At 36.1% G+C, this 14274-nt stretch overlaps 1 protein-coding gene across 9 annotated transcripts in view, besides 1 other annotated feature; it reads left to right on the top strand.

Moving 5' to 3' along the window:
- The window catches only part of AHCTF1 (AT-hook containing transcription factor 1), a 92851-nt gene that overhangs the window by 39590 nt on the left and 38987 nt on the right, over positions 1-14274 (top strand). For all 9 annotated transcript variants that reach the window (NR_136586.2, NM_001323343.2, NM_001323342.2 and 6 more), the window contains exons 15-21: positions 440-580; positions 1299-1403; positions 2300-2393; positions 3842-3965; positions 4126-4182; positions 5002-5148; positions 6679-6866. Coding sequence is in view for 8 of the 9 variants with exons in the window: in NM_001323343.2 (NP_001310272.1) it covers positions 440-580; positions 1299-1403; positions 2300-2393; positions 3842-3965; positions 4126-4182; positions 5002-5148; positions 6679-6866 (856 nt within the window). In the remaining variant the exon portion in view is untranslated. The remainder of the gene's footprint in view (positions 1-439; positions 581-1298; positions 1404-2299; positions 2394-3841; positions 3966-4125; positions 4183-5001; positions 5149-6678; positions 6867-14274) is intronic.
- Positions 13546-13746: a silencer, noted in NCBI's record as "peak826 fragment used in MPRA reporter construct". NCBI's record gives its function as "represses an SCP1 promoter by STARR-seq MPRAs in K562 erythroleukemia cells {active_cell/tissue: K562}" and the evidence as "EXISTENCE:reporter gene assay evidence [ECO:0000049][PMID:32103011]".

The following is a 14274-nucleotide window of genomic DNA, read 5'->3' as shown; positions in this document are numbered from 1 at the left end:
TGGGCGACAGAGCAAGATGCTGTCTCCAAAAAAAAAAAAAAAAAAAAAAAAAAAAAAGTAAAACAAATTAGAATTTGATTTAAAGAAGGATTTTAGAATGAAGACAGTTGTTTTCTAGACCAGTGACACATTAAATATTGATGTAACTAAATGTGTCATTAAAGTAAATCCCTGTCTTTTGATGTGTGCTGGTTATGAGGACAAGCTCTAGATATAGATGATTTGAGTTCATAGTCTCACTCTTGGCTTTTGCTAGTTTTATATTGAAAGCACTTTTTAGGTTCCTTGGAGGTTTTGCCATTTCTAGCTTGTCTTTATAAATCTCATAATGAATAGAATAATTCTTTTGAGTGATAGGAGTTTGAGAAATTTTGCATTGTGATTCTAATTTATTTAGATTTACTGTATGGAAACTTATCTTTTCTTTTATTCTTGAAAGGTGTGCCATTATTTGATGGTTCGTGTCATTTCATGGATCCACAAACTATACAGTCTATCCAGCAATGCTATTTGCTTCTTAGCAATCTTAATATAGTCTTGAGCTGTTTTGCATCAGAAGCCCGAGAGATCACTGAGAGAGGTACGCTCTTTGTTTTATCAAATGAGTGTTTTATTAAATTTTACTTCTTGACTAAGAGAAACGAATAACATTTCCCATGTCTTAGATGGATCATTATGTAAAGAGGACTTTATTTCTCCAGTGCTAGGGTTTTTGTTTGTTTCTTTGTTTTAATGAAAAGCTACAGAATGTTGTTAGACATGCCATGAGCCCATGCTTAAATAAGCTTGGGAAATTCTGAAGTTAATGATTATTAAGATTAATGTATTTGCAGTAAAGTTTCAAATTAAGTTATATGTATTTTTTATTCAAAGAACTCATAAATTTTTTCTGTTTTGCAATTTCAAAACAAAAACAAGCCAATTTCATTTAAATGCCTGTTTTGAACAATCTTTATTAGTGATACTATGCTAGTTTGTATTAATGAGTAAATCTGAGTTCTGGAATTAGCTAAATGAAAGTGTAGCTGAGGTGAAAGTGTATTTACCTAAAATGTCTATTTTAGGGAGTGACTTACTTATTTTAGCATTTTGGAGGTTTGCTTGACATCATTTTGGACCAAAGTAAACTAAATACAAAGATGAATTAGTTCAAGAGAGATACATATATCTTGAACAAATATGTATATGTAAAATATATATTTACAAATTATGTAAATTACCAAGTGATTAATTTTGAAAACTGTGGAGCATCTTGATTTTTTTGTAAGTAAACAACTGATGTTAACTCTTCTTTACAGGACTGATAGACTTAAGCAATAAGTTTGTGGTTTCCCACCTCATCTGTCAGTATGCACAAGTGGTTCTTTGGTTCTCTCATTCTGGGCTTTTACCAGAAGGCATAGGTAAAATATTTACTTAATCTATAAGTATTAATTAAAACATTCTGAATCTTTATAATTTTGTTATTGTATTCTAATGCTTTGGGTTTCTTTTCTTCCACCTCACTTATTTTTCTCCTTAATTTAATTTATGCTTAACCTTCTTTTCTTACATTTTTCCTTACTTTGTATCTTCATCCTATGCCTGACACACAGTGCTCATACATGTTTATTGGATTGAATAACATTTAGAAGGAAAGCAAATTTGAGAAAACATAGCTCCTGAAAATGAGTTCAGCAATATTACTAGCTATTATTTAGATCCATAGAACTATAGTTTCTATAACTCAGTTTTCCTGTTTCCTGGTAATGGTCCTTTTAATATGGTTACTGACTAATATTTCTTCAATTAAATACCCCCTTTTATCTAGTGATTTATGCCAGTACCAACAATAAGATAATTTTTGGTATTTGACTTGTGCTATATTTGTTTAGAATATAACTTGCAAAGCCTTCAGCTTCTTGCATTTCCAGGAAGCCATTAGATTTTATTTAGAAGTGCCTCTGCCACTGTACATAATTGTTGATCTTATTTTTTCATAATTCTCTTAGATTTTGATTTGTAGTGAACATTTCTTGCTTTCAAATTATTATTTGTGCCTAAGGAGTAAAGTTATTTAGAACAGTTTCCAGGATTTTAAGCCCCCATCCATGTAGTTAGACTTTCATGACAGATCATTTTCTCACTTGTGCCTCTGTAAATAAAAAGATGTGTAGTAATCTTTTATTACCTAAATATACCCACCCTGTGGGTTAACCAGGGGTTGCTGTAAATATTAAATTACAGTAAAATATTAATATGTATTGTTGAGATATTTGGGGATTATTACCAGCTTTTTTTCCAACTCTTAAAAATCTAGATGATTCTGTGCAGTTGTCAAGGTTATGCTACAACTACCCTGTAATTCAGAACTACTACACCAGTCGTCGACAGAAGTTTGAGCGTTTATCAAGGTATAGTAAAACAATTTTAGAAATTACATCTGTAAGAAGTCAAAGTTTCTCAGAATAGTGTTCATCGTTTTACAAAGTGATTAAATGGGTAGAATTCTCAGTTAAGTATCAGAATTTGCTATTACCATTACTATTTTATTTCTCTTTTTTAAAAAAGTACACGAATAACCTACTTAGTTCCTTTGAAATGAAGTAAAGGTAATAGACAAAGAAAGTGGTGTTGAGAGTCTTGACCACACTTCTGGAAATAGTCGTCTTCCTCGAGTTGCAGTGACAAAATTACAAAGCATATAACATTTAGAGCAGTGCCACAAACGTTGATTCCAGGTTTCTTACACCTGAATCACCTGGGAATCAGTACTTTAAAATCTGTGCCGGCTGTAATTCTGATGCATGGCAATTGTGGGAACCAGTGCTTTAGAATGACCAATTTAGGAGAGTGAACATTAGCTTGGGAGATTGACTAGGCATATTTTAAAATTCTAGATCTGTTATTTCCTAAGTGTATATCCTTGGCAGCTTTGTTATGCTTTCTAATCCTGCTTGTTATATAAGTTATAAAGTCAGTATAAAGCTAAATAAAATAGTATGTGCAGGACATCTAGTGCAGTGCCTGGCTCATTGGACAACCGCAAAGAGTAGTAAGTGCTGCCGCTATTCACAATTAGAAAAGGAAATCAGGGGAAAAAAGAAGAGAAAAGAAAAGGAAATAGGGACCATACCTGCACGTTGCATCATAGGCACTCAGCAATAGATATTCGAGTGAAGGAATCACTGAGGATAAAAGACTAACCCAAGTGATGAAACAGAAACTTTAACTCTCTGTCTTTGAACTTCATTATTTTCACTACGCTGGGCTTTATGGTAGTTTGCTTAATATGGTGAAAAATAGAATGGTCACTGGCTGGATGGACCACATGGGGACCTCACCTTGACTGACTGGCTTGTTGATGACTGAACTTGAGGCAAATTAAGGGCTTATCCGACTAACTCTCCTTGATGTCTGTAGTTCTCATCATGCTAACTAGGGTCAAATTCCCAATTCTCTCCTCTCTCTCTGTTTTTAGAGACAGGGTCTCTGTTGCCCAGGCTGCAGTGCAGTGGCATGTGTATAGCTCACTTTAAACTCCTGGGCTCCAACGATCCTCCTTCCTTATCCTCCTGAGTGGCTAGGACTACAGGTGCACACCACCATGCCCAGCTAGTTTTTATATTTTCTTTAGAACTGGGGTCTTGCTGTATTGCCCAGGCTGGTCTCGAACTCCTGACCTTGAGTTGATCCTCCTGCCTTGGCCTCCCAAATCACTGGGATTACAGACATAAGCCACCATGCCCAGCCTCTTCTCTCTTTGATAGTTGGGATTATTACTTTTAATATTTTGATGCTGGTTGCTTTGATATTAATTAACAGTGATATTAAATAAGTCTTAATTTTTCCCTGATTGCAGAGGGAAGTGGAATCCCGATTGCTTGATGATTGATGGACTGGTTTCTCAGTTAGGAGAGCGAATTGAGAAGTTGTGGAAACGAGATGAAGGAGGCACAGGAAAATATCCTCCTGCTAGTCTGCATGTAGGTTTGCAGTAATGTGCTATCATTTAGAGTCTACAAAGCTGGGGAGGGAGGAGACATGCTTAGCTGTGTGTCTGGCACAAACTTGGGAAAACAAGAAGCATGAATGAATGAATGACTGTATAAGATCCACTGAAGGTTTTATCCCTTTGTTTTATAGGCAGTACTTGATATGTACCTATTAGACGGCGTTACTGAAGCAGCCAAACACTCTATTGTATCCTTTTAAGTTTTATCCAGTGTTTCATGTATTACTAAAATTATAAAATTTCAAGAGTAGTGGAAACCTGACATATCTAATTGCAAGGTTGAATTTTGGTTTTGTTTTCTTAAGAAGAGGTGTTAACCCAGGATCTGTTGTTTGGGCTCAGATGGCCTGTGATCAACCTAAAACTATATGAAAAATTTTGTTTTTTATTTGTTTTTCTAGGTATAGGGTACTTGGCTTTTATCAGACACTTAAATGTGTCCAAGACACTCAAAAAGTTAACAACAGTTGCTCTAAAATACTACCACCAAGTGGTCACTATCAATGGCATTAACCTCTGTGCTGGAAATGAATACATTATAAGTTAGCGTGATACTACCTTAGGCATTATTTGAGTCCTATAGTCTTTGTGATAATATTTTTGTGCTAATGTTAGTTACTTAGTCTAAAAATGTATAATTCCATTTATAATTTATAAGCTAGATGATGTTTGATTAAGCTGCCATCTTTTGCTAGATCTTTAGAAATTTGCGTATATCTTTGTTTCTTGTATTTACTGAGCTACTGACTTCATAAAAATACGCTTTATCTCCTTTGTGGTGCTGATAATAAAATACTGAGAATGAATGAAGTTGGTGCGGGACTGGTTGTACCCACATTTACTAAAACTATCTTCTCATTGCTGACTCTCCATGATGGCTTTCTAAACACTAAAAACAGGCATTTCAAGTCTCTTTTAATGCTACATTTTGTTGCTACCTATTGTAAATATATACGTAGGAGGTTTTTGTTGTTGTATTTTATTGTCCTTAATCCGCTTTTTAAAAGACCATTTATTTGCTACTTGATATTATGTATTCCTTTCCCAACAAAACAGACACTCCCATTGAATCTTTCCCAACTGTATTTGCCATTTCTTGGGGCCAAGTTAAACTTATTCAGGGGTTTTGGTTGATAGATCATAATGACTATGAGGTAAGTCTATTCACTTACAGCATAAACTTTCATGAATTACTAGAATTTTAGAAAATACACATAATTTAAATTTGGTATTAAAAGATATGATACAGTCTACTAAAAATAGTTGAGGAAGGACCCAGTTTAATCAGTACCTTTACCAAGCACTATTTTAGAAGGCAAGAATATAAAGATAATTCAGAACCCCAGGTTTCTTACTGTTTAAAGAAGGAAACTAATAAGTAAGTAATTACGATAGTTCAGATACAGTGATCGTTAATATTAGAGAGATGTTTGGGGTGTTGGGGGAACCATGGAAGGCAAGATTTGGCCTTGATATATGAAATTGGTGATGGGAAGATCTTATAAAATAGTGTGATAGGGTCTTAGAGGTATCAGGTTTTTTATAAAGCTTTTATTCTTTAAAATACAGTTATCATTCAGTATCTGTGTGGAATTGGTTCCAGGATCCAGAAACATACCAAAATTTACAGAGGCTCATGTCTCTTATATAAAATGGCATAGTATTTGCATATACCCTATGCACATCCTCTTGTATACCATCGGCCCTCTGTGTCCATGGATTCTACATCCGTGGCTTCAATCAACTGTAGATCAGAAATATTCAGGGGAAAAAATTGGGTCTGTACTGAACATGTACAGACATTTTTCTTGTCATTATTCCCTAGATGTTACACTATAACAATTATTTACATGGTATTTACATTTCATTGGGTATTTTAAGTCATCTCTAGATCTTGATCTTTAAATCATCTGTAGATTACTTATAACATCTAATACAATGTAAATGCTGTGTGAATAGTTTATTCTGTATTGTTTTTATTTGTATTATGTTTTATCATTATACTGTTATTTTTTATTTTTATTTATTTATTTTGAGATGGAGTCTCGCTCTGTCACCCAGGCTGGAGTGCAGTGGCACGATCTTGTCTCACTGCAGCCTGTGCCTCCTGGGTTCAAGCAATTCTCCTGCCTCAACCTCCCAAGTAGCTGGGACTATAGGTACGCACCACCCTACCTGGCTAATTTTTACATTTTTAGTAGAGACGAGGTTTCACCATGTTGACCAGGCTGGTCTTGAACTCCTGACCTCAACTGATCTGCCCACCTCAGCCTCCCAAAGTGCTGGGATTATAGGCATGAGCCACTGCACTTTTTTTGTTTAAACTTACTTTTGTTTGTTTTAGAGACTTGAGTTTTGCCATGTTGCCCAGGCTGGTTTTGAACTCCTGAGCTCAAGCAGTCCGCTTGTCTTGGCCTCCCAAAGTGCGGAGATTACAGGCGTGAGCCACCGTGCCCAGCCTTATTTTTTCAAATGTTTTCTATCTGCACTTAGTTCAGTCTGCAGATATGGATCCTGTAGATACTGAGAGCCAACTCTATATAGCACAGATTAAAGTAGATTTTTTCAGCTTATATTTAAACGAGTCTTATCTGGATTTTTGTGGTTTTTAGTGTTAGGTTTACCTACTTTGTCTAAATGTATAGGATTATATTTATATTTAACATTTTTCATGTTATTTCCAGAGTGGTTTGGATCTTTTGTTTCATCCAGCTACTGCAAAACCTTTGTCATGGCAACATTCAAAGATTATTCAGGCATTCATGAGTCAGGGCGAGCACAGACAAGCCCTCAGATATATTCAGACAATGAAGCCAACAGTGTCCAGTGGTAACGATGTTATCCTTCACCTCACTGTTTTGCTTTTTAATAGGTAAGTACATCTTTTGAAACTATAAAGTCTTTATCGTATCTGTTAATAAAATGGAATTGATGAGATAGACAGTGGCAATATACAATTGGCCGTTAAGTCAGTAAAGTCAGTCCTTTGTATTAGTGGGTTCTGCATCAAATTCAGATTGAAAATACAGTGTTCATGGGATGTAAAACCTGCATATATGGAAGGTCAGCTTTTCATATACATGGGCTCTGCAGGACCAACTTTGAAATTTGAGTATGTGTGGATTTTGGTATCCATGGGGATCCTGGAACCAGTCCCCCAAGGATACTGAGGGACAACTGTATAATATTTTACTTCTGTTGCATTAATATTCTTAATGTTTATTGGTCTTCCAATGTTAAGAAAAACATACAACACCTTTTATCTAGAATAAGATAAATACCTTGAATAAAAGGGAGGGGCGCCAAATTGAGATTTTTAGTTATATTTGTTGCCAGTTGACAACATTGACAGTTGTCCTGCCTGGACAGCTGAGGGTTTAGTATGCTGAAAAGGAGTCAGGAATAGAGAGGAAGAATGAAGTGATAGAGTTGACAAATTGAGAATTTGTATTCAGTAATGGTACTCTGATATTTTTGTTAATATTGGTTGTTTGAGTATTGGAATTCTTTGTATTTCAATTTTGTCATTGCATTTGCCCTATTGCATCCTCATAGAAAGAAAATCTTAAGGAAGTGTCTGGTTTCATGTCTTATTACTTCAACCAGATTTGAGCAAGTGATACCTTTGTTTCTGCCTTTTGCAGATTTTAATGTTCTCTAATCAGTGTATTTGTCATTTACATAATAATGATTATTACAGTCTCACATAGTAACTGTGAGAAAGCTAAATGGCATGATTGGAAGTACAGTGGTATGGTTATTGGGTTTTCTTACGAACTAAGCTGGAGAAATTGCTTGGAGCTGAAATTCCTTACTAGACTTATTTTATACCACTTTTACTGGTTTTATTCAACCCTGTTGATCATTTTTATATTTTTAGAAATTAGTTATTTTACCTCAGCTGTGTTATACATGAACCAATTACCACTTCTGTGTCAGCACTCTGAAAGTTACATTTTCTTGGTTCTCTTTGGTTAAATAGCATGTACTTCTACGGATAAGAGGGTAAGATCTACAAATTTCAGGCAGAAGAAAAGAAGTTTAATAATAGATTGATTAGACACAGAACCTTAACAGTAATGAATTAGCAAGTGCTTGTTGAAATAATCTGGCTTAGCAAAAATGTTTAGATAGCTTAATCTAGAATCAATACTGAGATTTTTTATGAGATCAAAATTGTAGTTTCAATAAGATTTACTGTAAGAACAAAATAAAGAAGCTAAATGTGGTAACTGTTGAATAAATGGGTTAAGAGTTCTAGTACTGGGTTGGAAACCAGCATATAAATTTTTTTTTCATTTGCATGTACCTCTCACTGTTTAGTGATGTTAAAGTGTTGCTACTTAATCACTAATGCTTACGTCAGAAAGGCAGGTGTTGGAACTTTGGAAGAAACATGTTTGGAAGGTTTTTTTCCTCCTTTTGATTCCAGGTGTCCTTCTTTAATTCATCCAGAGCATGTTTCTCTGATTTGCCAGGTTCTAATTTCCTTTACCTTTGCCATATAGTAAACAAACACTAATAAATAGTTTAATTTCTAAACCTTATTTCTCTTAAGTTGGAAAAAGTCTCAATTTTCCAGTCCCCAGAAAACTAGCACATTAAGGCTCCTATACATTAAATACAGAAATAAAAACAACCACTCAAAATGCTATTTGTGAGATAGCTTGTATTCAGATTTAAGAAATGTTTAAAAATAATTACTAGTCCTGTAAATAGAGAATGACTTCAGGGTTGCTAGAAAGTCAGAGAACACTGTTGAAAGTGCAGGTGATAGTTTTTATTGAAACATCTTAGGAGAAAGCTGCTTAAATTTTTGAACTGATAATTTTGCAAAAGGCAGCCATGTTTATTGCCCAGGAGATTATGTAACAGCATACTTTACACTTCATTTTTATCAGAAGGAAGCAAATAACAAGAAAACAAGCTGATTTACAGGGACTTATTCAAGAAAACAAAGTTTCTGAGTATCTCCTGCGGTCATACATAATCACCTAATTTGTTCAAATACCTACATCTCTAGTCCAGCAGTGTTTAATCAGTATATCCTTGAACCATGGATAGAGGTTACATTTGGGAAATTTGAACTAAAAGTCCGAGAAGTTAAGCTGCATAATAGTCCAACACCCAAATGATTTGATTACATAAAGATAGTTGAAATGGCTGAAAAAGTTTTAATATTTAAACCATCAAACACTAACACTCTCCCCGGACTCACCCTTCTGGCTGTACAGCCTCACTCCTGACCTCAGGAGGTTTTGCCCTGTTTTGAACTATTAATTTATGTTAGTGATATTGTTTATTAATTTGCACCCTTACAAATAATGTTATTGAAACAGCACTTATTGTAGCAAAGATGTTAAGAGCAAAATCTTTGGACTCAAATAGATTTGGATTTAAATCTAAACGATGCCACTTTGTGAAATAGGATCAAAGGCAGTTCAGTTATCCTCTCTGAGCCTGAGTTTCCTCATTAAGAGCATCTTTGCATTTCTCTAAAACTTCATGCTGGTAGCTTCTCAATTTTATGAGCTATATATATGGACATACCATCACAACTGTGGCGTGGCTGTTTTACGTGCAAATTAACCATGATGCACCGTACAGCAACAGACTTACAAATAAAGGCTTTAGATAATTCAGCTACTAACATTGATTATTCAGTCTTAGGATCATAAATGTACAAGAAAGCCAAAAAATCCTTTTGTATAGGCATAATTTTTCCTCTTTGTTAGGTGGGTTTATTTTGCTGTCCTTTTAACTCAGGTTGGATAATGATTTCATTTTCAGCCTTTTTTCTTTGTAATACAAAAGTATATATCGAATGTCCCACATAGCACCTTAGCGGCATCCCACAGTTTCATTATGATTCTGTTCTAAGTATCTTTAAATTTTCATTACGGTTGTTTATTTTCCCTATCTATGATTTAGAAGTTTTAATTTACAAATAATGGGTTTTAAAAATTGTGTTGTTGGTTTCTAAATTGTTTTGTAATCACATAATGTGATCCATGTGGTACCTGACCTTTAAAATTTGCTAAGACTTGCTCTGTTTAAAAGTAATAATAGGCCAGGTGCGGTGGCTCATGCCTGTAATCCCAGCACTTTGGGAGGCTGAGGCGGGTGGATCACGAGGTCAGGAGATCGAGACCATCCTGGCTAACACGGTGAAACCCCATCTCTACTAAAAATACAAAAAATTAGCTGGGCGAGGTGGTGCACGCCTGTAGTCCCAGCTACTCAGGAGGCTGAGGCAGGAGAATGGCGTGAACCCAGGAGGCGGAGCTTGCAGTGAGCAGAGATGGTGCCATTGCACTCCAGCCTGGGCGACAGAGCAAGACTCCATCTCAAAAAAAAAAACAAAAAAAAAAGTAATAATAATAAAGGCCAGGCACGGTGGCTCATGCCTGTAATCCCAGCACTTTGGGAGGCCAAGGTAGGAGGATTACTTGAGCCCAGGATCAGGCCGGGCAACGTAGGAGACCCTTCTTCTTTTTTTTTTGTTTTTTTTTTTGGTTTTTTTTTTTGAGACGGAGCCTTGCTCTGTTACCCAGGCTGGGGTGCAGTGGTGCGATCTTGGCTCACTGCAACCTCTGCCTCCCAGGTTCAAGCGATTCTCCTGCCTCAGCCTCCTGAGTAGCTGGGATTACAGGTGCCCGCCATCATGCCCACCTAATTTTTGTATTTTTAGTAGAGACAGGGTTTCACCCATGTTGGTCAGGCTGGTCTTGAACTCCTGACCTCAGGTGATCCGCCCGCCTCGGCCTCCCAAAGTGCTGGGATTACAGGTATGAACCTCCTTGCCCAGCTGACCCTGCTTCTATTTAAAAAAAATTTTTTTGGTAAGACTTGATTTACCCACTGATAAGTACTCAATGTATTCTCCATTTAATAGGTGAAATGTCAAATATATTTGTCCCCATGATCAAGTTTGTTCGTTGCATGGTTTTAATCTTTCTGTGTCCTGAATAATTTTTTTTCCTAGTCTGTTTTGTAAGTTACTAAGTATGCAGAGTTGCTGACGCTAATGGTGGATGTCTCAGTTCCTCACAATATTGCCAGCTTTTTGTATTTTGAATATTAGGTACATAAGAGTTTTAATTTGTTCTTTTTTAAAATGACTTTTAAAATTATTATATGGTAACCTTCTTTATTATGAATACTTGTTAATGTAGGCACACAAATAACCTTTTTTATTTATATTCTGTATGTATATTTCCCCAGTCTTTTTACTTTACTCCAGTCACTAGAAATCAGTGGTTGGTTGTTTACCTCTCTTGAATGTCTTTTTGTATTGTGGTCTCCACCGTGCATTTCATAATGCATATTTATATTTGGTCTAGCATGTTTAGAGAGTTTGCCACAGGATGGGTTTTCAGTCTGTCTTTGCTGTATTGCCAAGAACCCCCATGCATTCCTTATTAAAATGACTTCTATGTCTTTTACTGCCAACATGCTAGCCTAGCCTTTCATAAATTAATTTTCTTATTGTTCTTCCTAGCATCATTATTGTCTTCTGTAGGAAGCAAGAGAATAGTGAGAATTTGGAGACTTTGTTTTAAAACATTTGTTAAATGTTGGCAATGGATTTCTTGAAGTTGAAAGTATTTTCCTGCTATGGGGGAAACTGGGAAAGAACATTATCATCTGTCATTTGTTGTTAAAAATACTGTCTATATTATTATCAAATTAATACTTGGTAAATCATAAATTAAGTTTATCTTACTCCTGCTAGTTTGTCTGATCAACTGGGTGTAGGTATCAGTTTAAAGTGGAATTTTTTTTTTTTTTTTTTTTGAGCTGGAGTCTCACTCTGTCTGCCAGGCTGGATGGAGTGCAGTGGCGCGATCTCGGCTCACTGTAACCTCCACCTCCCGGGTTCAAGTGATTCTCCTGCCTCAGGCTCCTGAATAGCTGGGATTATAGGCACGTGCCACCATGACCAGCTAATTTTTGTAATTTTAGTAGAGACGGGGTTTTTACCATGTTGGTCAGGCTGGCCTCGAATTCCTGACCTCGTGATCTGCCCGCCTCGGGCTCCCAAAGTGCTGGGATTACAGGCGTGAGCCACCACACCCTGCCTAAAGTGGAAAACTTTAAAAATATATAATGCCTATTATATATTTTATATATATATATAACAAATAACATATTGTTTTTGATAATAAGCTATTTACATGCTTCAGTGTTTAAGAGCTAAGAATGATGACACAGTGAATTCCCAACTGCCTGTTTCCTCTTAGTACCCAGTAGTGTGAATAACTTCTAGTGTATTCTTCCTAAGATCTTCTAAACAAATGTCAACAAATGCCTATATGTCCTCTCCCACTAAACCCTTTTAACAAATAAAAACAGCATACCGTATACCCTTCTAACTGTACACCCTTCTGCAGTATACTTTTTTCACTTTAGTTTGGTGCTAATTTTATAATTACATAAAGGATTTGCTTTTTAACTATTGCATAGTAGTTCATTATTTGGATGGCTGTACCATTTTATTTTAAATTAGTTCTCCCTTTTTTTTTGGCGGGGTTGGGGGAACAGAGTCTCACTTTGTCACCCAGGCTGGAGTTAGTGGAGCGGTTTTGGCTCACTGCAACCTCTGCCTCCTGGGTTCAAGCCGATTTTCCTGCCTCAGTCTCGCAAGTAGCTGGGATTACAGGCATGCACCACCACGCCTTGCTAATTTTTGTATTCTTAGTAGCAACAGGGTTTTGCCATGTTGGCCAGGCTGGTCTCAAACTCCTGACCTCAGATGATTGATCCACCTGTCTCGGTCTCCCAAAGTGCTGGGATTACAGGCTTGAGCTGCCACACCTTGCCCTAATTATTAATAGTTCTCTGTAATGAACATTTAGGTTGTTTCAACCTTTAGCCATTTTAAACAATGCTATGATGAGTAACCACGTAATGCACATGTGCCAATTTATAGAATAAAATCCTAGGGTGAAAGGATGTTTGCCCTCGTAATTTTGGTAGTTTAATTTTGACAAGTAGGGCAAATTACCCTCCATCAAGGTTATGACAACTTAATCCTCCTCTCAATTACCGTATGCTATGTCTTTTATCAACACAGTGTACCAGATATTTTTTGTCTCTTCATCTCATGGGTAAAAATGGTAGTTTTAATATGTTTGGTCTCACTATAATAATGGAATGTATCTTTTTTTAAAGAGCTATTTCTTTTGTGACCTGCCTATTAAAATCTTTGGCTTTTTTTCCTGTGTTGTTGGGATTTTTCTTACTGATTTATAGCCGCTTTGTATGCATTAGGGAAATCAACCTTGTTGTGAGATTTAATAATGAAATGTTCATCTTATCCTCTATTTTTCTTTATACAAAAATGTTCTGCTTTTAACGTTTCTAGATTTTGGTTTAGGGAAAAATGACTATATTTCTGTGCACATGAACACACGCAGATGAACACTCTTCTACACCCAAGTTACAATGATTCCACCGTCTAGTAAGAGAAGCACGAGGCAATTTCAGATGTAAATTTTTAGGGAATACCTCTACACATTGTACTTCTTGAGTTGTTGGCCTGTATAAGCCCTGTGGAGCATGTGGAAATACTCTAGTTCCAGAACAACAAAAGTAACAGATGGCCCTGATCTGCCAACAGTGGGTACCATTTGCTTCCCCAAGTAACTTTGTATTCACAGAACGTATAGGGCAGTGCAATCTTGCCATTTTTTATTCTGCCTTGGAAGTTGTCAGCCTCCAAAAATTTTAACTGCCAGATTGATCATTACCATTCTTAGTGTATATCTTCAGAACTTTTTCTTTTCTACTTAAATAAATATATAAACAAGTTTTATTGGTTAATGTTTTGTCATTTTCATACTGTTTTTAACTTGCTTTTTAAAAAACTAATGATTTTCCAAGTTAATACATATTTTCCTTATATAGGGCTACATCGTAATTCATTGTTTCACTGTATTTTTTTTTTTTTTTTTTTTTTTTTTTTTGAGACAGAATCTTGCTCTGTCTGCCAGGCTGGAGTGCAGTAGCATGATCATAGCTCACTGCAGCCTTGACCTCCTAGGATCAAGCAATCCTCCCACCTTAGCCTACTGAATAGCTGGGACTACAGGCACACACCACCATGCCCAGCTAATTTTTGTATTTTTTTGTAGTTAGGGTCTCACCACGTTGCCCAGGTTGGTCTTGAACTCCTAGGCTCAAGTGATCTGCCCACCCTGGCCTCCCAAAGTGTTGGGATTACAGGCATGAGCCATTATGCCTGGCTCTTACTGTATATTCTTATACTTAATCTTTTG

Source organism: Homo sapiens, chromosome 1 (assembly GCF_000001405.40).
Source record: "Homo sapiens chromosome 1, GRCh38.p14 Primary Assembly".
Lineage (NCBI taxonomy): Eukaryota > Metazoa > Chordata > Mammalia > Primates > Hominidae > Homo > Homo sapiens.
Note: the sequence above shows the minus strand (reverse complement) of the source record. Positions and strands in the feature narration are given on the sequence as shown.